The sequence below is a fragment of the Homo sapiens genome, chromosome 10, assembly GCF_000001405.40.
Source record: "Homo sapiens chromosome 10, GRCh38.p14 Primary Assembly".
Lineage (NCBI taxonomy): Eukaryota > Metazoa > Chordata > Mammalia > Primates > Hominidae > Homo > Homo sapiens.
Genome location: NC_000010.11, coordinates 42,693,390 through 42,719,043, shown reverse-complemented (window position 1 = coordinate 42,719,043; position 25,654 = coordinate 42,693,390). Strand labels below are relative to the sequence as shown.

The 25,654-nt window shown below is 39.0% G+C and overlaps 1 long non-coding RNA gene and 1 pseudogene across 2 annotated transcripts; one reads left to right on the top strand and one right to left on the bottom strand.

Annotated features, from left to right (window-relative positions):
- Positions 4,468 to 24,673, top strand: CUBNP1 (cubilin pseudogene 1; annotated as a pseudogene).
- Positions 12,591 to 23,009, bottom strand: LINC02632 (long intergenic non-protein coding RNA 2632). Of its 2 annotated transcripts, none has more exons than NR_184025.1 (4): positions 22,833 to 23,009; positions 17,483 to 17,542; positions 16,787 to 17,027; positions 12,591 to 15,622 (listed from the first exon to the last, which is right to left on the bottom strand). It is a non-coding gene; the product is annotated as a long intergenic non-protein coding RNA 2632 (long non-coding RNA). The 2 variants fall into 2 exon arrangements; NR_184024.1 differs by having other exon boundaries at positions 12,591 to 14,658.

The following is a 25,654-nucleotide window of genomic DNA, read 5'->3' as shown; positions in this document are numbered from 1 at the left end:
AACATAAAGTTTATGAAACAGTGAAACAAATTATCATTTAAAAGGTTCTACATGTTCCTCAAGGTAAACATAAAATAGCAAAATATCTAAGGATCTACCCCAAGAAAGGCCAACAAATATTATTAGCTTTATAAATAACAAAGTTCTCCAAATATTATTAGTTTTATAAATAACAAAGGTAATGCTACTTTCAGTTAATAAACAACAAGTATTTACTGAGAACCTGTGTCCCGAAAGCACATGCTCACTCTATCCTATTATGAGCCGCCTCAGGATTCTATAGCCTAAGTCATTTTAGTAAACAAAAATGTCCCTTGCTTAACTCACTGCAACACAATGGTCCTACTCTTTCAGCAGCAATGTGAAAACGAATTGCATGAAAATTACAGGAAAAAAGGTATAAGCAAGTAATAGGGTAGATTTGAGAGTATAAAGCCAAACATGCAAAAATATATGTTCCTGAGCTATAAAAAGGTGTATGCATAACCAAACAAATCTCCTAAAAAACTGATAAGCATAGATTTCTTCTCCTCTGAGGATATAAAAATTAGTTAATTTCTGAATCTTGTGTTAACTTCCAAAGCATCTTCAGGAGGACATATGAATTCTGAATTCTTGCAGGAACACCGCTTCTAAATTGCACTCCAGTTCTGATGTGCTACCCCTCCAGCAAAGCCATACATCAATAAAGGGCTTTAACTGGGGAGCTGGGAGGGAGAAGCAGCGCTGAGAGGAAAGGAAATGGCATTCAATGGCATTCAATGGCATTCAGTGGCCGGGGGAGGAGGTGACATCCAGCGAAGGGTAAGAAAAGGAAGGGTAGGAAAAATGCCCAGGAAATTCCAAAACACTGGGAAGAGAGAGAAGGAGAATATGAAAAAAAACTTCAACCCATCAATGGAGAATAACAAGCTCAGTGTTATAAAAGGAGTGATCTAGGCTCTTTTATATGAGTACATGTCTTTATTATGTATAATATATTTGAATGTATATCTACATGTAAACCTCGATTATTAACATTATGAGGTAGACAGTAAGCAAGTCATATTCTATCTTGCACTCTCTTACACGTACACATAAAAAGCATGTTTTGCCATTAGTTTCTGTCTTCTTTTACAATTAAGAATTAATCTAGGCTGGGTGCAGTGGCTCACACTTGTAATCCCAGCACTTTGGGAAGCTGAGGTGGGTGGGTTGCTTGAGCCCAGGAGTTTCAGACCAGCCTGGGTGACAGGACAAAACTCTACCTCTACAAAAAATTAGCTGGCATGGTGGTGAATGCCTGTAGTCCCACCTACTCAGGAGCCTAAGGTGGAAAGATCACTTGAACCTGGAGGTTAAGGCTGCAGTGAGCCGAGATTGCACCACTGCACTCCAGCCTGGGAAACAAAGTAAGACCCTGTCTCAAAAAAAAAAAAAAAAAAAAAAGGAATTAATCCAGCAAGAGGCCAAAACTGGACTGCTTCTCTTCCTACTGGACCTTATCTTTAGGGTCACTGCATGAGGAAGGCAGGAAGGGGAGGGAAAGGAAGAGGCCCAAGGCTAGGAAAATCCACCAAATCCACATGGGAGCTTTGATCTTTCCCTTTGAACTAACACAACTATGGCTTTTAACTTTAGGAATTGTCCCTGTTCTTCCGTTGGAACGAGTAAGGATCCAGAGCCACAGGAACACTTCGCCCATGGCGCTCCTAGATTGACCTGATGGGGCATCTCAAGTGCACACACACATCACTTGCAGAGACAGCAGGGTACATGGTGGAGCAGCCACTTGGAAGCCGTGCAGAAAGCTCTGTCGTTCCCTCATTCTCGTCACTTAACTACACCTGTCTCCTCCACGTGATATAGAGTGGGGGTTCAACAAGTTTGCTCTTGTCACTTTCATCTCCTGCTGAAGTTATTACATAGGTGTTGTTCTTGATGGTCCTGCAGGCTGTGGGGTGTCTTGTATTTCTTTCCACAAATTGCTGGTTCAGTTGGATGAAAAGGAGGGCTTCACAGAGAAAGATGAGCATTCATCTCAACTTTCTGAAGGATAAGCAAAATCCAGAGAGAGGGGTAGGAACTTCAGATTTTAGAAAAATTCAGGTAACTAGAACAAAGAATATGTAGGCAGGGGAAAAAAAGCTAAAGAAATAGCAAAAAATTAGACAAAAGAGGGTTCAGACTGAAAACAGCAAAATGCAAGGTCAATGAGTTTGTTAACTGGTTATCAGTTGTATTTGAGTGGTTTTGGCCTATGAGGCTGACTGACGAAGAAAATGAAAAATGGAAATGGGAAAGGTATTCCATTAAAAAAAATCTGCATGTGCCCACACTCATGTTCCATTCAAGCCTGGGAGCTATGGGATTACAAATTCTTATTTAACCAAATGTAAATTTAAGCAGATAAATAAGGTGGCACTTATCAACATTTTTTAAGAAGCCATCAAGAATGAGTTCTGTGATGCATTAAAAATCGTCTAAAGTTTTATACAAATTTCCAAGAAGCATCTCCTTTAAGAAATAGCATCACTAGGCCAAGGCAGATAGATAGCTTGAGGCCGGGAGTTCAAGACCAGCCTGGCCAATATGGTGAAAGCCATCTCTACTAAAAACAAAAACTAGCTGGGCATGGTGATGCACGCCTGTAGTCCCAGCTACTAGGGAGGCTGAGGCAGAAGAATCGCTTGAACCTGGGAGAGGGAGGTTGCAGTGAGCCGAAATCATGCCACTGCATTCCAACCTGGATGACAGAGTAAGACCCTATCTCAAAAAGAAAAAAAATAGCATCACTATGTCCACATACATGCAAACATACTAGTGTTATCTTCACCCAACTCTGGAGTTTCTAAATCTGAGCTATGTGGACCTCTAAAGAATTCATGGATGAACACAATGGGATCCATAGGCCTGCTGAAATTAGAACCATCACATGCACTTCTCTACGGATCAGGGTTGTAGTTTTCACTCTACTATTTAAAACAGTCAGTGACTTAAGAAAAGTTAAGAAGGCCAGGCACAGTGGCTCACAGTGGCCTGTAATTCCAGTACTTTGGGAGGCCAAGGAAGGAGGATCTCTTGAGCCGAGGAGATCAAGTCCAGCCTGGGCAAATTAGCCAGGCGTGGTGGTGCACATCCATTTGGGAGGCTTGTTTGAGCCCAGGAGTTTCAGGTTACAGTGGGCTAGGATCATGCCACTGTACTCCAGCCTGGGTGATAAAGACACTATCTCTAAAAAATAGAAACATAAAAAAGAGAACAGATGCTCTAGAAGAATGTATGCACCTAAGTATCGCACTTCTTAGTGTATCTCCTCTAACATCCTGCACATATACTCACATGTACACACACACCAAGTTATTTAGGAAAGAGTGCATCAACTGAAAATCTATGTATAATATTTTGCTATTACATCAATTCTGTTTGATAGACATTCTATCATCAATAGCAAAAGAAACCTTTTTCAGGATCAGCCGCACACATGGGCTAATTATGAGTTGGAAAGTGACAGACTTACACTCCCCCGTCTTATTTTCTCCACAGCCTGCCACCGTTCTGAAGTTCTCATGATTGGGGTGGTTCCATTTAAAAATATACTGTGGAGGAATTAGCATGTTAGCTAGCTTCCGCTTAGCACAGAACAGGACCTCAAGAAAAAGGATTCTGGAACAGGTACATTTTGGTTGGAGGGGCTGACGACAAAGAGAATGGGGGCAGGGGGGTAGCCACAGTCTACAAGCTGAGGATAGATAAGATGCTATCGGGCGGACACTTCTTCGACTTCACCTGCTGGCCTTGGGTTGCCCTGGTTCTGGGTCTCTGAGTCAACAGATCCTCCCATGGGACAATCTCAGGAGCTCACTCACTAAAGCCAAAAAGAGCAACACATGCCCAGTGGCCAGTGATTTCTGCTCCTCTCCCTTCTGCCACCCTCTACCCTATCAAATGAAAAGAACATTCCATGCTCATAGATATGAAGAATCAATATTACTAAAATGGCCATACTTCTCCCCCAAATTTACAGATTCAGTGCTATTCAATGCATTGAATGTTAAAACCCAGATTTTAACTGTGTGTAATATGTCAGTGGCCAGTGTGGAAGAACTCAGATGTGCTCCTTAAAAAATACTGAGGTCTGAGAGCAGGCACAGTGGCTCATGTCTGGAATCCCAGCACTTTGGGAGTCTGAGGTGGGTGCTCTGGAGTTCGAGACCAGCCTGGGCAAGCTGGGTAACAGAGGGAGACTCCATCTCATAAAATAAAAAAAAAAGGCAGGGTGATAAAGAAAAGGGCAGGCAGCACCATTGCAAGCTGGAGCCAGAATGATATCACCCCTGAGGGGTCCTTCTTTTTGAGAATCCCATTATCTCCTGTGAATCCTGATGTTCTGAAAAAAATGTGTGAGATGCTTCGGCTAAGTTGCAAATGATGATAGAGCAGATTCTCAAGACTGTATTTTCATGCTGTTTCCTTTCTTTCAATGTAGGAGAAAATGACTTGGCCCAGAAGCTAGCAGTTCTCTGTGGCAGAGAGATCCCTGGGCCCATCCGGTCTACTGAGAGTACACGGTCATCCGCTTCACCTTGGACTCCAGTGTAACCAGGGCAGGCTTCAGTGCATCCTTTCACAAGAGTAATGAGTTTAAATATTTTTTTAATCCCATGTTATCCCATCTCCTCTGCTTTCCTCTCTCTTTCTCTCTTCCTAATATAGCTTTCTGGGCACGAGGACACAAGCCACGTCAGAGGACATGGGTCTCTGCCCAGGTTCTGGATGGCTGGCTCCCCTTATGTCAATGCTGATTCCTGATCCAAAGCACTGTGGCCAAGTCGTACAAAAGTGTCCTGCTTCAGGCCTCTGGGTGGGGCATCTTCACTCCAGAGGAGGTGTCTCCATGAAATGCATGAGAGAGAGCTTTAAAGCAATTTTTCAGCCTAGCTGAGGGCTGGAACTAGAGCACAGCTCATATCCGTAACTCATCGACGGAGCAAAACGTCATCATTTATCCTTATGAATTACTTGGTTAAAGTCATCCATTTGAGGGTTGGCAGGAAGGGTTTGTTGCTCTTGAAATATGAACTTGATGAGTCAAAAACAGGCACCATATATGGGATGCCATCATGCACAGTATGATTGAGACTTTTCAAACTTGACATGTGAAGTCCATTAACAGCCTTAAATCCAAACTAAATGAAAGGTAATAAAGTAGTCCATGGAAGAGTGAAAGACTCCCATGTTTTTAACTGAAAAACATAATTTTAAAGTAGATTCTCAATCTAACATTAAAAATTAATCTAATATTTCCTCCATGCTTATATATACCTTTTATAAAGTAGGGAGCAACTGACGATAAATTGTGTTCCTCACACTCAAGAGAGGCAGGCTGCATAGTGGCTTAAGAGCATGGGCTTTGGAATTAGACCTAAGATAAATTTTCTTTTTTAATTATACTTTAAGTTCTAGGGTACATGTGCACAATGTGCAGGTTTGTTACACATGTATACATGTGCCATGTTGGTGTGCTGCACCCATTAACTCATCATTTACATTAGGTATATCTCCTAATGCTATCCATCCTCCCTCCCCCCACCCCACCCCACGACAGGCCCCGGTGTGTGATGTTCCCCTTCCTGTGTCCAAGTGTTCTCATTGTTCAATTCCCACCTATGAGTGAGGACATGCGGTGTTTGCTATTTATGACAAACCCACAGCCAATATCGTACTGAATGGGCAAAAACTGGAAGCATTCCCTTTGAAAACTTGCACAAGACAGGGATGCCCTCTCTCACCACTCCTATTCAACATAGTGTTGGAAGTTCTGGCCAGGGCAATCAGGCAGGAGAAAGAAATAAAGGGTATTCAATTAGGAAAAGAGGAAATCAAATTGTCCCTGTTTGCAGATGACATGATTGTATATTTAGAAAACCCCATCATCTCAGCCCAAAATCTCCTTAACCTGATAAGCAACTTCAGCAAAGTCTCAGGATACAAAATCAATGTGCAAAAATCACAAGCATTCTTATACACCAATAACAGACAGAGAGCCAAATCATGAGTGAACTCCCGTTCACAATTGCTTCAAAGAGAATAAAATACCTAGGAATCCAACTTACAAGGGATAAATTTTCACCTCTGCAATTTAACTAGCTGTGTGAGCTGTCTACCCTTCCTTGCTGATGAGCTTCTAGTCCCTGACCACTGGAGAATTAATGCCTGCTCCTTTCATTCTCTTCCTTCACCTCCTGCCCTCTCACTGTCATGTATACATTAATATGTATGGCAGCTCATTATACATACATACATGTATACATATGAATGTATATAGTGAGGGTAGAACCATTGTAATTGATTTATATGTGTGTGTGTATATATGTGTGCGTATATATGTATATAATATATATAAATATGTGTATCTATAAGTGTGTTTGTGTATATATATGTGTGTGTGTGCATATATATATACTTGGCAGCTCATGGTCTAGAATATATTTCAAATTTAACCTGTGATATAATGGACTTTGGAGACTCATAAGCAGGGAGGATGGGTGGGGTATGAGGGATAAAAAACTACATATTGGGTGTAATGTATACTAGCCAGGTAACAAGTGCACTAAAATCTCAGACTTCACCAGTATGCAATTCATCCATTTAACCAAAAACCACTTGTACCACAATTAGATAGATAGATAACCAATAACAAAAAATGTAACCTTTGAAAACTGAACACTTTATTCCCACCCTTTTCCATGCCACCACCGCCCCCAATTCTACACTCCTCACAATGTTAGCAAATGGAAAGTACATTTTTCTCATTATTTAAGTCAAAAATCTTGATGTTATTTTTGACTTTTCTGTTTGTCTCACACTTAACCATCAACAAATCACACTGGCTCTACCCTCACAATGTATCTAGATTTCAACCACGCCTCTCCATTTCTGTTGCTACCAGCCTAGCCCATGCACCTATCATCTCTCCTTGGCCTCAGGCAGTCCCCTTTTTATTGGACACTCTGCTCCTGCCCTTCCCTGCCCTCCACTCCTTACAGTCTAAGGACTGCACATAGAGTGATATTTTCAAATGTAAGTGAGATCATGCCATTCTGATGCCCAAAACCCTTCGTCTTCCTCTTCTTATTCAGAATAAGTCTTTTCAGTTTCCTGCATGACCTAGACATGCTGCTACCTTTGGAATCTCTCATTCTGCCTCATCCATTCTGACTTCCATGATGTACCTCTGCCACATCAAGCCTTTACATTAACTGTTTTCTGAACTGGAATGCTTTCTCCCACATAAACATCTGGCTTGATTCTTTATTTCATTAATGTCTCTGCTAAGATGTTACTCCAATGACGTGGCTTTTCCAACTTAACTCTGACAATAAAGTACCCTTCTCCCTCCTCCCATCCATTTTTCTTTATAGAATTTATCACTATCTCACATATTATGTATTGTTTATTTTATGTCTTCCCCATCTATAAAGAAATCTTTATGAAAGTAGGTAATTTGTCTTCATTACTTACCTCTATATCCCATATCTCAACAACCACCACAAACGGAGTAGCCAATAGCATGTGCTCAATACATGCTTGTTATGCTAATCATTTCCTACACTCTGGCTTTATTTTCAAGCATTTTTATTGCCTACACTGTGAAAACCCCCCAAGAAAACTAAGAAAGCATAAAAATCCAGTTGCCAATTCTATTGAAATAACCTACCTTTGTTTCTTTGTGGGGAGGCTCTGGTGGATATTTGCATGCAGACAAGGGATCATCATGTTCCCCAGGTATCCAGAGACCTACCCATCCAACCTCAACTGTTCCTGGCACGTCCTGGTCCAAAGTGGCCTGACCATTGCTGTCCATTTTGAACAGCCTTTCCAGATTCCAAATGGTGATTCTTCTTGCAACCAGGGGGATTACTTGGTGGTAGGTCTTGCTTGCTACCCTTTCTAATTATGTTTTCCACAGACTTCATTCAGAAAACAAAATGATAATTTTTCTTTCCTGGGACATAAATGGATAAGAATTACGTACTCCTTCTTTTGCAATGTAAAGGAGTTGATGCAATTTTAATTTGTCTTTCCAGCTAGGAAATGGCCCTGATATCTATTCTCCACCCTTCGGACCCTGTGGAGGAAATGTTCATTTTTGTGGCAGTCGTGCTTCATCGACTGTGTTCACCTCGGATAATCAAATGTTTGTTCAGTTTATTTCTGATTATAGTAATGAAGGGCAAGGATTTAAGATCAAATATGAGGCAAAGAGTTAAGGTAAGTATTTTCACTGAGAATTATATCTACTTTTCCTGCAATTGCTTGGTCTTCTTTGATTAAGTAGATTTGAGAAAAAAACATATAAAGTTTTCTTTTCTGAACTAACAGTAATAGAATTAATAAGAATGCCTACTCTCAAGTACTTATTATGTTTGATACATTCAATATCTCATTGTGACTACTTTTCAAGTAAAGTACCATTATTTCGGTTTTAAAGATAAGTAAAACGAGGCTTGGACTTTTCCAAGGCCACATATCTAATTAGTGACCAAAGTGAAATTTTCCATGAGTATAAGATACACTATTCTTCTTGATCCCTGAAACTCCTTAGACCTTTCCATTATAAGATGTCTAATTGTAAGTTAAATCTAGTTATAGAAACATTATAAGAATTACATTTGCCTTATTTTGTAATAATGTGTATGCTGTTTTTAAAAGAACATATAATCTTTTGATTCTATTATTACTGATTTAATTATATATTACCTAAGATCTTTCCTTAATTCCTTGTACTTAATTGCACTTGATTATAATTGCATTTAATTCTACTGTAATGATTTGATTTTGGTGACATTTACTTTTCAGTAATGTTTAATTGAATAAATAAATTAAATAAATAAATAGGCATCACTTCCAAAAAACGGAGTAATGTCAGTAGAAAGTAATATAATAATAAATTTTTGCTTTGTCACACCAGAAGTTAGATAATATAGATTTCAAAATGATCCTATGACTTGTATCCCAGATTCCTAAATGTATTTATATATAAATAAATATCAATGAAATCATATGTTTTATTGCACATTGTATGAGATTTAAAGTCAACATCATTTCTTCATTTTGGTAAAAGAAATGAGTAAGAGTGTTTACCAACCGACACACAAAAATAATCGAATAGCTGGAGTAAGGTCCAAAACACCAGGGAAGGGGCTTTGGTCACTTCCCAGTGCACAGAGCTCTGGCACAAGGAGGGAGCTTTAATGCAGCTCTGTGGGCACCTGCACTATGGCTTTCTAGGCTGGGACCTTCTCACCCCTCCCTCTCTCCATGTTGAGCTTTGCAACTGAGTCAGGAATGGGCGGGTTTTCACCTGGTACCAAAGCATTTTGAGAGTAGCAGTGTCTTGAGTCTAGTGAGTAGATGTCAGCCCACATGACAGAATTCTACTTTTCTATTTTTATTTAAGATCGACTCAGTCTTTTTTTCTTTCTTGAGACAGGGTCTTGCTCTGTCACCCAGGCTGGAGTGCAGTGGTGTGATCTCAGTTTAAGGCAATCTCCACCGCCCAGGTTCAAGTGATTCTCCTTACTCAACCTCCCTAGAAGCTGGGATTACAGGTATGTATCATCACGCCCACCTAATTTTTGTATTTTTGGTAGAGATGGGATTTCACCATGTTGCCCAGGCTAGTTTTGAACTCCTGAGCTCAGGTGAGCCACCTGCTTTAGCCTCCCAAAGTGCTGGGATTACTGGAGTGAGCCACTGTGCCCAGCCAATAGACTCAGTCTTGATTTAAGTTTTTAAAGTCAACATTTAATGGTAATTCAGATACACTAAGAGATACACTAAGGGTATATTTGACACTGCACCTCTTCTATTTCTTTGTGGACTCACTGTTCATGCAAGTATGGCTATGGCCATTGCTTTCTCCCTGTCTTTCATGAAGCTTGTTATTACTGCCATTAACATCAGACTTAAACAAAAGTCTTTTGATTTCACAACCTATTTTTGGCAACCTGAAACAATAGCATCACTCTTATTTCTCTCTACTTACCAACTCAACCATGTTCCATAACTATAGCCAGGCTTCTACTTCCCATATCTATCTGGCTATCTTCCCACCATATCTACTTCCATGCTACTCCTATTTCTCAGCCTTTAACATAGGTCCCTTTGTGAACGTCTTTCGACATTGAAGGAAAGACATGAAGCAAGGGAGTTGGACGTCATCAAAGAGATTTGCAATTTACAGTTTCAGAAATGGGGGAGTTGGAGGTATTGACAGAATTCAGGATGTGACTGTAAGTGGATGAGTGACAGTGGACATAAATGTTGCTAGAGTTGAGCAGATCAAGTATCTGTGTGGCTAAGTGATTGGACAGGTTAATTTCATTGGCATTGGCATTGTAAGTACATTTATTCCTGTCTGGTTTGTTTGTTGAAAATGCCAAAGAATATTTATTGACAATAGAAAAGTATTTTTCCATAATACTTTTTTTTTTTTTTAGAAAAGAAGTATTAAAAAGCTCCGTTATCATCTAGCAAAACATGGCTTATAAATTGTCTCATGCCATTGACCTTGTTTCTCAAATGCATCTAAATCCTGAAGAAATGTGATGAATGAATGCCCCCAGAGTTGTGCAAAGATACATCTGCTTAGTCTTTTAAGTATACCAAGATCATAGCTCTGCATCATTCTGCTGTACTGAACGCTCAGTGGGAAGCTGTAACTGCTAGCATACTTACATGCTTATCGAAGTGCTGGATATTTATTCGTGCTTCTGTGATGTTCTGCCCCATGCACAATGTGCCATAATCATTTGGTTGGCTTTAAGAAAGAATGAAATTTCCAATGAGAATAGATAGATGATCTGGCAAATTAAAAAGTGTCACACCTGGTAGCTGCCTCGATAGCAAATTGAGAATTCGTTTGCTGGAAAAGAAAATGAGGATCATAACAGATGAAAGGAAATTGAGACAAATTACAGAGAAGTTGACTTTAAAAGATGATTTTTGTCCATTGAATGCATCTCCTTCACCAGAGCGTAGATTGATTTAACTGTGTTTGCTGACAGCCTGTGGGGGCAACATCTACATCCATAAAGCTGATTCTGCTGGGTATGTGACCTCCCCCACCCACCCTGATAATTATCCCCTGCACGCTGATTGCATTTGGATCTTAGCGGCTCCACCGGAAACATGCATACGGCTGCAATTTGAAGATCAATTTGATATTGAAATAACACCCAAGTATGTCACTTCCATTTTCACTTTTTTCCTACCCGAAGTTAGTATTTTTTAACTGTCATGTCTCAGAACAATTCATTTCTTTCAGTAGCACATACTGCAAGCAAATCTAGGGAAAAAGGGAAATGCTTAATAACTCAGGCATGAAAACACAGTCTGCCAGCAACTCTCCCATCAGCTGAGTAGGTTATGTACATGGATACTGTCCCTTGTGACCCTAGACACTTCCTGCAAGGGACGTTGAGGATGGCTACTTGAGATTGATGTTTATCCATTCTTCCTCCCGCAGGAAATATGTCATGTTTCTGAGAGATGAATATTTATTTGCCCAGCCTCTTATTCAGTGTCACAAATGATAAAATGTCTGTTTAACAAATGGGAATTTGTGTGGTGTGTCACCAGGGGTCACTAGTGTCAGAACAGTACTAAAGCACGTACAGTATAATTTCTCAGTCTTTATTTAATAAGAGTTCTGAAAGTATTACAAAACAGAGAGTAAGTCTTACTATGTTGAAGAGAAAGTAAAAATATATAGATTGTAAAAAACCGTTTTCCTCTTTCCTTTAACAAAAGTGTGTATACATTTGCATGAATGCAGCTGTGGTGCAAAACTAAGATATAAGAGCTTTTGTTGCTATTTCTGACACTGGATTTAATACTACTCTTCCACTCATGGAGCATTAATTAGCTGATGTAAGTTCCTCAAGAAACGCTAGATACATGCTTGTCTACTCTTATGGACACAGAAAATTCCAGTTGGGACTCTCTGTTAGTCCCAATTACAGAGCTGTTAGAGAATTTATCTTTATCATGTGAAATGTACCAAATCATTGTGTGGAACAAAATACTTGTTTTTTTTTGAAATTCATAGGGATTAATTTGAAAACAACATTTATATTTGTAAAACCAATACAGAATATGGAAGGGAAGTAAATATTCTTCAATGTAGAACATGTAAAACCTGTCTTTCTGAGCTGCTAATGAAAGAATGTATTATTAGGAAAAATATCATACAGCATTTTAATGTGACACATGGCTTACGCTGATTCTATCATAGTCTTTTATGCTAAGAAATGATGATTTAATAATATCTTCAAAGAAAGTAAGTGAAGTTGTCATTATCAAAATAAGTCAAGGCAATTGACCATGTAAATTTAACATAATTTTGTTTCCACTTTAGCTGTCCTTCTAACTACCCCTAGTTGTGGGATGGAGTGGATTCAGATGCACCAATACTTTCCAAATTTTGTGGGACATCTTTGCCCAGCAGTCAGTGGTCGTCAGGAGAGGTTATGTATTTGAGATTTCATTCTGACAACAGCCCCACTCATGTGGGATTCAAGGCCAAGTATTCTATAGGTAATATATATTTTTTAACTTTTATTTTAGGTTCAGGGTTACATGTGCAGGTTTGTTATATAGGTAAACTCGTGCCATGGGGGTCATTATAAAGATTATTTCATCACTCAGGTACTAAGCCTAGTATCTAATAGCTATTTTTTCTGCCCCTCTCCCTTCTCCCACCCTCCACCCTATCAAATGAAAAAAAATTCCATGCTCATAGATAGGAAGAATCAGTATTATTAAAGTGGTCATACTGCTTCCCCAAATTTACATATTCAATGCTATTCCTATCAAACTACCATGACATTCTTCACAGTACTAGAAAAAACTATTTTAAAACTCATATGGACCCCAGAAAGAACCCAAATAACCAAGGCAATCCTAAACTAAAAGAACAAAGCTGGAGGCATCACAATACCTGACTTGAAACTATACTACAGGGGTACAGTAACCAAAACAGCATGGTACTGGTACAAAAATAGACACATAGACCAATAAAATGGAATAGAGAGCTTAGAAATAGGGCCTCACACTTACAGGCATCTGATCTTCAACAAAGCTGACAAAAGCAAGCAATGGGGAAAAGACTCCCTATCCAATAAATGATGCTGGGAGAACTGGCTAGCAATATGCGGAAGATTGAAACTGGACCCCTTCCTTATACCATATACAAAAATCAATTCAAGATAGATTGAAGACTTAACTGTAAAACACAAAACTATAAAAACCCTGGAAAACATTTTTATATTAAATAAAAGAGTTATTACAGGATGAATATGTTAAAACTTTTTTTAAAACCATGACTTTTTAAAAAGAAGTCATTCTATCTGCATAATTTTAAAAATATTTTAATGCTATAAATAAGTAAGGAGTGTAAATGTTTAAAACCACAGTCATCAACTTTAATTTCTCTTTTAATTTTTATTTTAAAATGTAATCTTAGTAAACTTGAATATTTTATATTTTTTCTAACTTATTTGTGAAGAAATATGTGTAGTTAAATCAAACTCCTGTTTCTTCTGCTTACTATGAAATTCAGTAGTTCTCTCTTATCCATGGTTTCATGTTCCATGGTTTCAATGCACTTGGTAAACAGAGGCCCAAAAAATAGGTGAGTACAGTACACCAAGATATTTTGAGAGACCACATTTACATAACTTTTCTTACAGTATATTGTTATGATTGTTCTATTTTATTATTAGTTAATCTCTTACTACGTTTAATTGATAAAGCAAGCTTTATCATAGGTACATATATGTAGAAAAAAATTGTCTATATGTCTATATAGGGTTTGGTACTATCCAAGGTTTTAGGCACTCACTGGGGGGACTTGGAATGTATCCGCCAAGGAAAAGGAAGAACTACAGTATGTTTATTACTTTAAGTAATACAACTATTTAAGAACCAGATAACTATATTTAGAACAATGTCTTTGAATTCCTCATCATATATAAAATGATTAAGCTTTTTTTTTTTCTCTGAGTCTCTAGTGCCAAATCAGTCACTGGATAAAAAGCAAATATGTCTCTTCAGGATTTTGATTTCCTTACTTAAAAATTGAGCAGTAACTTTGCTTGTTGAAGATTCACTATAGTATGGTCACAATAGCACACAATTTAGTATCTGATAGGTCTAGACACAAACCAAACAAATATTTAATATAGCAAAAGTTCAGAAAGGCTAGTTGTAACAGTATTTAACTACACCATAGATCATATTATATCCCGGGTCAAGCTGCATATAATTCAATTAGCTACCACATCCAGCTAATAAGACATAATTGAATAGTAATTTTCAAGGCCCTGAGATATCAGTTACAGTAGTGAAAGTTTAGTTGATAGTAAAACTAGATATAGCAGGTGTCCCCCCTTCCAGGTGAGCTTGGGTTCAGTCTTTAGAATCAACACAAGGTTCTAGGCAGGTCAGATGAGTCTACCAGTTTGTTCTTGAGATGAAACTTGCTTGCAACTGATAGCTCTTACATAGTGTCCCAAAAGAATTAATGTGACATTACAGAATGTGCCATTTGGTCGTCATCTTGTTTCCCATTATTGGATTGGACTTGTGGTATCACTTCTGTTTACATCAACCCTAGAATTCAAATAATGAGGAAAGCACTAAGCATTTTCAGAATTTTAAAAACTTCAATTCATAGTCACTTGGCACCTAAAAGTTTTCACATGTGCTGGTGAAATGAAAAAAACACAGTTTGTAATAGAATCCTTTCTTTCTTTTCTTTCTTTCTTTCTTTTTTTTTTCAGCTCAGTGTGGGGGAAGAGTAACAGGGCAAAGTGGTGTTGTTGAAAGCATTGGCCATCTAATGCTTCCATATAGAGACAACTTATTCTGTGATTGGCATCTCCAGGGGCTCTCCAGACACTATCTCACCATCTCTTTTGAAGATTTTAACCTTCAGAATTCCTCTGGCTGTGAAAAAGACTTTGTGGAGACCTGGGACTATCATACTTCTGGTTAGTGAAATATATCTGCTCTCTTTGGGGTGTTTATTTTCGCATGTACTTATTCAGCCTCTGAAGTTTCTTCACTTCCAAGAAAGGCAAAGCATGTCTATACTCTGCAAAGAAGTGCAGATTAATGGGCTTTGGGCAGTACCAGTGATTCTCTACCTCAATTCTACCATTAACAATGGATGTCCAGAGCCCAGGTGTCATATAGCCTACCCTGGAGGCCACCTGGGGAGAGCAACGGTAGTGGGAAGGCAACCTGTTGCTGCTGAGACATCCCATTGCCAGATGCCGTTATTTGAGGGGTGTTCTATAGCTTGAGGCAGAAAGAGGGTCATGCATGTCTCCTGGCAGTAGCATAAGGCAGATATTTGTCACTCTGTTGTCTCAAACCACTTTTTCAACCAAAAAACTGGCCTTCCTCATTATCCTGAGATATCCTTCCCCTAACTGGTTGCATTTTTTTCACTTCTTCATATATTTGAATATGTTAATTTTCATTCATGTTTTCCTGTTTTCTTGAGAGAGATTAATATTTCTTCATGGGCAAGGTCTTGTTTTTTATTATTTTCTTTGTACACGCAGGACACCTTGAATAGAGGTTAAAAGAAATCAATCACCTGGACATATATATTTAATTATTTGTCTCTCACAGGAAACATCTTGGGAAGATACTGTGCAAACACCATTCCTGACAGCATAGAGACTTCTAGCAATACTGCCATGGTCAGGTTTGTCATAGATGGCTCTCTGACTGCCTCAGGATTCAGACTGCGATTTGAATCCAGCATAGACGGTGATTTCATTGATTCATTCAAAACAACATTGAGCACCTGCATTGGACAGACACTATGCTAGGCACTGGTGTTACAATAGTTTGAAAAACAAAACAAAACATGACCCCTATCTTCTTGGACCTTAATCAAAAAGTCACACTGATAAACAAAAAGTTACAGCTGTGATCAGTGCTATAAGGGAAAATAACTAGTATCACGAGAGATACAATAAGAGGATGAGAGTTATACTGCAATGCCTGCCTTAAGAAAGTCCTGTAGTTACTCAGAATTTGCCTCACTGCAAATCCAACAAACTCAGATGAAATAAAGATCTTGTTTGGAAAAACTGGATACCTACATTAACCTTCTGATTTTCCTGATTTTTTTTTTTTTGTAAAGATGGGGTCTTGCCTTGGCCTCCCAAAGTGTTGGGGTTACAGGCGTGAGCCACCACTCCTGGCTGATTTCCCTGATTCTTTCTTTTTTTGAGATGGAATCTCACTCTGTCACCCAGGCTGGAGTGCAATGGAGCGATGTTGGCTCACTGCAACCTCTGCCTCCTGGGTTCAAGCAATTCTCCTGCCTCAGCTTCCTGAGTAGCTGGTATTACAGGTGCCCAACACCACGCCCGGCTAATTTTTGTATTTTTAGTAGAGTCAGGGTTTTACCATGTTGGTCAGGCTGGTCTTGAACTCCTGACCTTGTGATCTGCCCGCCTTGGGCTCCCAAAGTGCTGGGATTACAGGCGTGAACCACCACACCCGACCTGATTTTCGTGATTCTTAAGTTCATTATATTCATTGATCTCTCATATTTCTTGGGCCATGATGATAATTAAATTGCTGTCTGTGGACTATCATCCATGGAAGCCAGGGTTAAATATTAATAGAGATAGGAAATCAATGTATATGTTCACTGAAATCCTCACGCACATAAATACGGTGAATAATTTTGTCTAGAAGGATAATTTTTAAATACCTGAATTTTGAGAGCTTTCCTGATGGAAGGAGACATTTTGATTTGATTGGAAGTTTTCTTGGCTTTCTTCCCCCACATCAGAGTGTGGTGGGGATCTTCAGGGCTCTGCTGGAACATCTACTTCTCCCAACTACCCGAACCTAAATCCTCATGGCCGGATCTACAAGTGGAGAATCACCGCCCCAGAAGGAAGGCAGATCACCCTAACATTTAGCAACCTGAGGCTGGCCACGCATCCGTCCTGCAACAGTGAGCATGTGATAGTAAGTGTTCCCTGTGGCCTGAGATGTTATATTCCATCATTTAAGGAGTTTACTGACCCATAAATCATAGTCAGAAAACTAGGTCAGGAAAATTGCCGTCTATGCAACTATAACTCAGACAAATTCTAAGTATTGTTGAGAGAACAAAACACGGTAAACTGTCAAAATAATTGTAAACGTTGTTTTAAGAGACTATCAGCTATCACTCTGTGCATCAGGGTCATAGATAGAATAAATATTAAGAGTAAATGATAATGACAAATGGCAAAGCTGGGGAGGCTGTGGGAAGCTAAGCCTACAGCAGCACATAGATGAATGGGAACAGAGTCACACCACAAGTCGCCACTGAAAGTTCTGAGCAGATGGGTTGTCCTGCATAATGACTGCTCTCTCCAGGGGTGCAGAGGGACTCCTGGTGGGAGAGCACTACTACCTGACCTCCACGTCGCCAACCTCCAGTGGTTTCAGATGTGCCCTCAGCACTCTCAGCTTCCTGCAGTGAAAGAAAGCAAATGAGATCCCTGAGTGTGAATAACAAATAGATTGTTAACTGTGAAGTGCTACACATACATATGTGTGTGTAGATAGGTAGATTGGATTAATATTAGTACATTTCTCCACCCAACTTGCCCCTTCTGCAGTATATGCTATCTCAGTAAATAATTCCAAACTTCTGGTGGCTAAGGTCAAAAATCTTGATGTCTGTTTTGGAATACTTCCTCTCACACCCTATATGGCATCTATAAGCAAGTCCTGTTGGGTGTCTCTTTAAAAATATCCACAAAAAGAAGAGTTCATGTCCTTTGTAGGGACATGGATGAAACTGGAAACCATCATTCTCAGCAAACTATTGCAAGGACAAAAAACCAAACACCGCATGTTCTCACTCATAGGTGGGAATTGAACAATGAGAACTCTTGGACACAGGAAGGGGAACATCACACTTCGGGGACTGTTGTGGGGTGGAGGGAGGAGGGAGGGATAGCATTAGGAGATATACCTAATGCTAAATGACGAGTTAATGGGTGCAGTACACCAACATGGCACATGTATACATATGTAACAAACCTGCACATAGTGCACATGTACCCTAAAACTTAAAGTATAATAGTAATAAAATAAAAAAAATCCACAATCAAACTACTTATTATATCTACTACTACCACCCCCACCGTTCACTTAGATTATTTTAGTAAGTTCCACCTGGTCCCACTGCCTCCATTCTCAACTCCTTACATTCTCAACACAGCAGCATGTGATGGTTTTAAGCCTCAATCAGATCATGTTGCTCCCTTTGAAAATCCTCTAATGGCTTCTCATCTCACTCAGAGGAAAATCCCAAATTGCACCTGTGGCCCACCTGGCCAACATTATCTGCTGCCCCTCCCTCTTCTACCTATCTGCCTTATCTCAAACTCCCCTATTCTCTGCTCGCTGGGGTCCAGCCACCTGGCCTCCGTTCCGTTCCTTGAATGTGCTGAGATGCTCCCTGTCCAGCTGTTGCCTTCATCTGGAATGCCCCTTCTCAGATGGCAGCCTGCTCCACACCCTCACTTCATTCAGGTCTCTGCTTGAATGCCTTTTAATCCATACGGTGTAAGTACCTTATATTAGAGACCCCACCCTGGCCTGCCACTTCTCTGCCATGTTGTTTTACAGCACTTTACACCTGCTGCCACACATCATTTTGATTTGTTCATCAGTTTATTGTCCGCTTCCCCCACTAGAATGTAAGCTCCCTGAGGTCAAGCCATAGTTTCATTCACTGCTGGAGACTCACTGAATCCCCAATGCCTGTATATAATAGAGATAAATAGTTGTTGAATGAATGGATGGTAGAGGTACTATCATTATCCCTTTAATAAGAAGCCACTTCTGTTTTCAGTTTAATTGTCTTCTGTTGGGTAGTCAATTTCAAAAATATGAAATATATTTGTATCTTATGACCACTTTGTATCGCCCTAAAATGATCTCCTTCAACCTTCAGATTTTATTTCCAAGTTCTAATATCTGAAGGACTGAACAGTTGTCTTTCAGATCTTGAAAATAAGAAACCAAGTGTGTTTTCTTTTATTTGAGAGACAGGAAATTTTGGACTAAGGTTGTTTATTATAAAGAAACTTTGTTTCCTATTATTGATTGAATATATATAAACAGAGATGAAGTAGAAAAAATACTAACCAGTCCCACTATATCATATTTTGATGCATTTTCTCATCTCTTCTTGGCAAAGCATATTTTATGTACTGTAATTATATGATATAAATCCACTTGAATTCTAATTTTAGTCTATTTTTCTGGTAATAAATATAATGGATGCTTATTGAGCAATATTTGGAGAGTTCAGAAAATAAAAAATATAAAGATATTTTTAATTCTACTCATCTATTACTAAAATTTTGATGTATATGCGAGCAGTTGTTTTTTACCTTTGAAATTATTTTCATAGTTTAAATCATACTGAATATAATGATTATTAGGAATTTTATAAGCAGAGTATTCACATGTCCTTTAGGAAACAGAATATGAACAGTCATAGTTTTAGAACTCAAATAAAGATAAAAGTTATAGCCACAACCACAAATTCCAAAGCAGATCTTAGTTGTCATCTCCCTATCCCTTAATTATCAACTTATAACTCTTGCAGCTACTGCCGGTGGGTTTTATGTCATTATTTCTATATAATATTCCTATTCTACTACTCCTTGCTTTTTTTGGACATTATCTATCCACATCCTACTCTGGAAGATGAGAATTAGCCCTCTGCCACCACAAATGCACATGGGGTATGCACAGTTTATATACTTTCCCAAATGTCTCCCAAAATACATATGTCACAGCTTTTGCTTAAATTGTCATTTAGTTGACATTACCATGATTACATAAACACCATTCACAACTGAGCCAAGTAGTGTACTGTGGCAACATTTGTTTTTGTTTTCCCAAGGAATAATAATAATTGTGTCCTCTTTACATTTTCTTGGGTTTTAAGCACTGATCACTAATTCTTCCACACCCTTTCCACCCTGGGTGTTCATCTTCACCTTCTGTAGTAAAACATATCAGTTCCATTTCTTTTCCTCAGTAATATCCTTCCTTGAGCCTTTGTCCACAGCTGCAAGCCTGATGCTAGCTGTCATTTCAGAATTTCCCTTTGCCAGCAGATTTGCAAGTTCTTTCATTCTGCTCTTGGGCTAGAAAGCTGGCTTTGTGATGCTATGCACGTCCCTTTCTTGGTTAATTTCCTCTTTTGGTGAGGCATACCCTCTTGTAGCTCCCCAAGGAAATGGGCAAGGGCAATACATTTTTAAAGAAATGATATACCTGAAATTATCTTTATTTTACCATCGTTCTTTGAAAAATATATATTTAAATATTTTACATGTTTACTATATTAATATATACAAGAATATATTAATAGTAATTTTGAAGTTTTGTGTTGCTTATTTGGGGTCAGTTTTCTTCATGTTCCTATCTCCCGTTTACTCATATTGGTCTCTGCCTTTTACATTAGTCAGTTCCCTAAATGTCTGCTGATCCTTGGCTGTTCATTCATATTTAAGAATGAATTGCCAAAAGGATGACTGGCATCTCTGTATGCATGAGGGTGCCCTGACTCTTTAAATAAGGAAACCTACAAATCTACAAATGTCATATCCACAGGACTTTTCTCTTGGGGAGGTTAAAACTCCAGCAAGGAATCACTTTCGGAATTAATTTTTTTTCTGAATCTTTAGTATAATGTCCACATTCCTTTTTCTGAAATATATTTTTATATGTTCAATGTTTATTTTGGTTCCTCTTTACTCTGCTCCAAACAAGGGCATGTGGGTCTGCCTTTGCTGCCACTCTACTTGATTGACAACTTGCCAAAAAGAGGAAGAAGACGAAAGAGGCAGAAGAAGGAGAAGGAGGATGAGAAGGAGGAGGAGAAGAGGGAGAAGAAGAAGGGGGAGAAGAAGAAGGGGGAGAAGAAGAAGGGGGAGAAGAAGAAGAGGGAGAAGGAGAGGGAGAAAGAGACAGAGGGAGAAGGGAAGGAGAAAAAAGAAGAAGGAGAAAAGAGGAAAAGGATAAGAAGAAGAAGGAGAAAGAGAAGAAGGAGGAGATTGAGAAGGAGAGGGAGAAAGAGAAAAGAAGAAGGAGAAGAAAAAAAAAGAGTAAAGAAGAAAGAAGATCTGCTGGTGCAGAGGCAGCTTTAACTTTCATTGCACTGCTTCGTGGCTAATGCCTTATCCAGCTGGTCTGAGCCTAAAATTTCTCCAAACCCACTTGCCTATCTGACTCTCTGTACAGACAGAGAAAATGAAAAGCTATGCCACCCGGTGTGTCCTACAATATGACCTGTATCTGATTTTGTCCCTGTTCATAGCAAATGTTATAGCCTGTCCTAAATCTCACGTGCCTACTTCCCATCCATTTGTATTCTGAGAGTTGTAGTTTCTGAGTACAAAAGGGATTAGAGCACAATGATGAGAATTGCATTCTGGTTGCTTCTAACAGCAGAAGTCCATGTGATAAATGGATGACTATAACATGTTCAGTCATTGTGATTCTACGCCAAAGGCAGACTCAGAGGCAGGATAACAGCCATTGATCATGGTTTCCAACATGTCCCATTAACCTTACAGTTGGTTCTAATCCCTTTTGATTTTGGCAATGTGATGCCCATTCCTGTTTTCAGCATTATAGAAATATTTGTCCTCATCTATTTCTTTATACACTGCTTCATGGTTTGGAATCAGAGGGATTGTCTGAATCCCAGTTCTATTATTAGTAATTATTTGAACTTCAGCAAATTACATCATCATTCTGAATTCTGGTATCTTAATCTGGAAAACAGGGATACTGTTATCTGCTTGGGAGGGTGTTGTGCTGATTGGATAAGACAGACTAAGTAGATGATGAGCAAGACTGGCATTTTTGTCTGCTCGGTAAATGATAGCAAACTCTTCTTCTGGTCGCGTGAGCTGGAAGACACTTTAGACCAGAAGTCCCCAGAGAGCTAAATTTAATTAATTATAGTAAATTTTAAAAACTGACATGTTTTGTTGTGGAGTGCATTCTCCTACTGCGTAACTTTTAGTGCCATAGTCTGAGTCATTATTTCTAATCTTGAGTCATTCAAATCCTTTTAAACACTGGAATATCAATCACTCAATCAATGAATTATTGTTTAGTTATTTCATCTAAATTTTTTTTATTTTGTACAGCATTGGAACAATTTGCCAATTATTGTAACTATGTGAATGACTACAGTTATTATTTAATATTTTGGAGTCAATAATAATCCATTCTTAAAAATTCAAATGAGAAAATTGAAGCTTTGAATCCATAACTAATGAGGAAAGAACTATTATGTTTAATTGCATATGGAGATTGATTTTTCAAATTACTTTTCAAGGTATTTAAAAATATCTGCTTGCTGGGCATGGTGGCTTACACCTGTAATCCCAGCACTTTGGGAGGCCGAGGCAGGTGGATCACCTGAGGTCAGGAGTTCGAGACCAGCCTGACCAACATGGTGAAACCCCGTCTCTACTAAAAATACAAAATTAGCTGGGCACAGTGGTGCATGCCTGTAATCCCAGCTACTTGGGAGGGTGAGGCAGGAGAATCGCTTGAACCTGGGAGGCAGAAGTTGCAGTGAGCTGAGCTGAGATCATGCCATTGTACTCCAGCCAGGGCAACAAGAGCAAAACCGCATCTCAATAAATAAATAAATAAATAAATATTAAAATAAAAATATCTGCTTTATTATATATATCAAATCATCAGAAACTAACCTTTAAGCTTCCTTTACAAATAGCAAAAGTCCTGATGCATTGTTAAGAAAAACTGCCCACCAGTGAGCTCTGCACAACATATTGTAAGCATGATGGCTTATCTCCTTTATATTGGGAGCTCAGTTTCCAGTTCCAAAGTGTATAGCAGCTTTTAATCTGTCACCACATGGCAGGAAGGCATTACTGCAATACTTTCATTCTAGTGAAATCACCCTGAGGTCACAAAATGTGTTCAGGGTAACATAGTGGCTTGTGGCACTGGGTTAGAAACCTGCATTGTTAGGTCATTCATTTTAGGGCAGGGTTCCCATAGAAGGAAGTGGGTCTGGGCTAGGAATATCACCTCCTAGGAAATATGCAGTAAGATGGATTGTGTGTCTAAAGGTTAAACTCTTTTTCCAATAGGTATTCAATAGCATTAGAAGTAACTTACCCCAGCTAGAGAAACTGTGTAGTAGTGTGAATGTAAGCAGTGAGATTAAATCTTCAGGAAACACAATGAAAGTCATTTTTTTCACGGATGGATCTAGGCCATATGGAGGCTTCACTGCTTCTTATACCTCCGGTGAAGATGCAGATAATGTAGGATATTGTAAATGTACTTCATTTTAATCAGGTGCACTGCAGATGCCCCCCAGCTACTGCCAATGTCAGCAGAGCCATCCATTTTCCCTTTAGTGATCAAAGTTCACTTGGAATATTTGACATAAGACAAACACATATAAGCAGATCAAAAACTTACTGCAGACAGAAAAAAGCTTTCTGATTTCAGGAAGAAACTGCTGTGGTAAACTTTTAATGCCATTAGATGAGCTTCTTGCACAGTTTCAGTCATGTTACCCAAAGGATTGGTGACCTGTTCCGTAGTCCTTGGTCAATTATTTGGTGCTGAAAGAAACCATCTACCTCCTAGAAGGTAACTTAGTCTCGGAGAGTAATTAATTTTGCTTGGGACAGAACAGGCTTTACTGTTTCTGGTCATCTATTCACACACATATTTCCAGCGAAAATAAATGGGAGGTTTGATTTGATATAGAATATTCCAAAATTAAGCAAGATATGGCCTCTAATTGTAAATATCCTCCTATTTCCTGGATTGGTGCTATTATCTAAGGGTTTTAAAATTTAGAAGTGGGAGTGAATATTAAAAAAAAACACTAAGTTATTTCATTGGTACAAGAAGCATCTGTTCCTTTATTAAAAGGGGGCAAATTCATTGGTAGGTCAATGTCTTATTATCTGTTTGATTTAAATTAAATTATTAGATCAAGTGGAGAATTGCTATCAAGCCATTAGGACCTGCCACCATTATATTTGGGTATTCCTTTAAATTAAATATTAATGAGCAGTAGGCTTCAATATTTGGACATATTGATACAGAGCCAAACCCCAGCCACCTAATCTACACCAACAGGAAAATAGAGAAGTTGTCGACTTTTGCACATGTTTCCTCTATAAACGTGCAGAAACTTCCATAATTTGCATGCCTTTTACCCATAATCCTGATTGCATCTAGAAAAACAAATCAAAGCAGTAATGTTGATGTTTTAGTTACTGTTCCTCTATTGTTTATCTCTTCTGTTGTGGCCTGAATCTTACTACTACTTTCTGCTGCCTTCTGTTTTCTTAGTATGTGGTGGGTCTCTTCCAAATACTCCTGAAGGAAACTTTACTTCTCCTGGCTATGACGGAGTCAGGAATTACTCGAGAAACCTAAACTGTGAATGGACTCTCAGCAATCCAAATCAGGGAAATTCATCTATTTATATTCATTTTGAAGATTTTTACCTAGAAAGTCACCAAGACTATCAATTTGATGTCCTTGAGTTTCGAGTGGGTGAGTTCTAAGAACACATTCTCCCATTTATCTACAATATTCTTTTTATCTTTTTGTTGTTGAGGCTATTGTTGTTGTTTTGAGACAGGAGCTCACTCTCTTGCCCAGACTGGAGTGCAGTGGTGTGATCATAGCTCACTGCAGCCTCAACCTCCCAGGCTCAGGTGATCCTCCTGCCTCAGTCTCCCAAGTAGCTTGGACTGCAGGCATGCACCACCATGTACAATTAATTTTTTAAATTTTTTGTAGAGATGGGGTCTCCCTATGTTGTCCAGGCTGGCCTCGAACTCGTGGCCTCAAGTGATCCTTCCTCTTTGGCCTCCCAAAGTGCTGAGTTTGCAGGCATGAGCCACCATGCCTGGCCTACAATATTCTTCTTATGCTTGGAGACCACCAATAATGAAGGGAGTCAAATGGCTCTAACATAGGTACATATGGTCCAAAAGAACTCTGTTCAAACAAAGCCATAATTCTGTGTGTGCCCAGCTGAGGAAAACGAACCCAAGGAACAGTGAGTGAGGCAGATCACCGTACAACTAGACCCTGTGTTACAGTCGCTTGGTTTCCTGCCATGTGAGACTTCCCTAAGGGAGAGTCCACTACTATCAAGACTCCTTTCCAAGGACACTGGGAATTAGCATGCTCAGCACGTGTTGGCACTTTCCTGAACTTCCAGGATTTATAAAGGGGCTGTGAAATTCTCCTGAGGCCTTAGGAGTTAAAAGAAGTTTTGCAGTGTACCAGATGGAGAAACACATGGAAGCTATTTGGGGAAATAACCCCAAAGCAGTCATTTGTCTTTGTTTTTGTAACAGAAAAGGATTGCGGCATACTCAATAAGCCATAATTCTCTTAAGAATTTTTAAAACTCTGTATTCAAGAAGGATGAATCAATTTTAATTTTCTTATAATCAAGGTGTAGTTTATTCATTAGGTTGCTTCCGTGATTATGCTGACACCTTTTTCTCAGTAAATAAACAAGTAG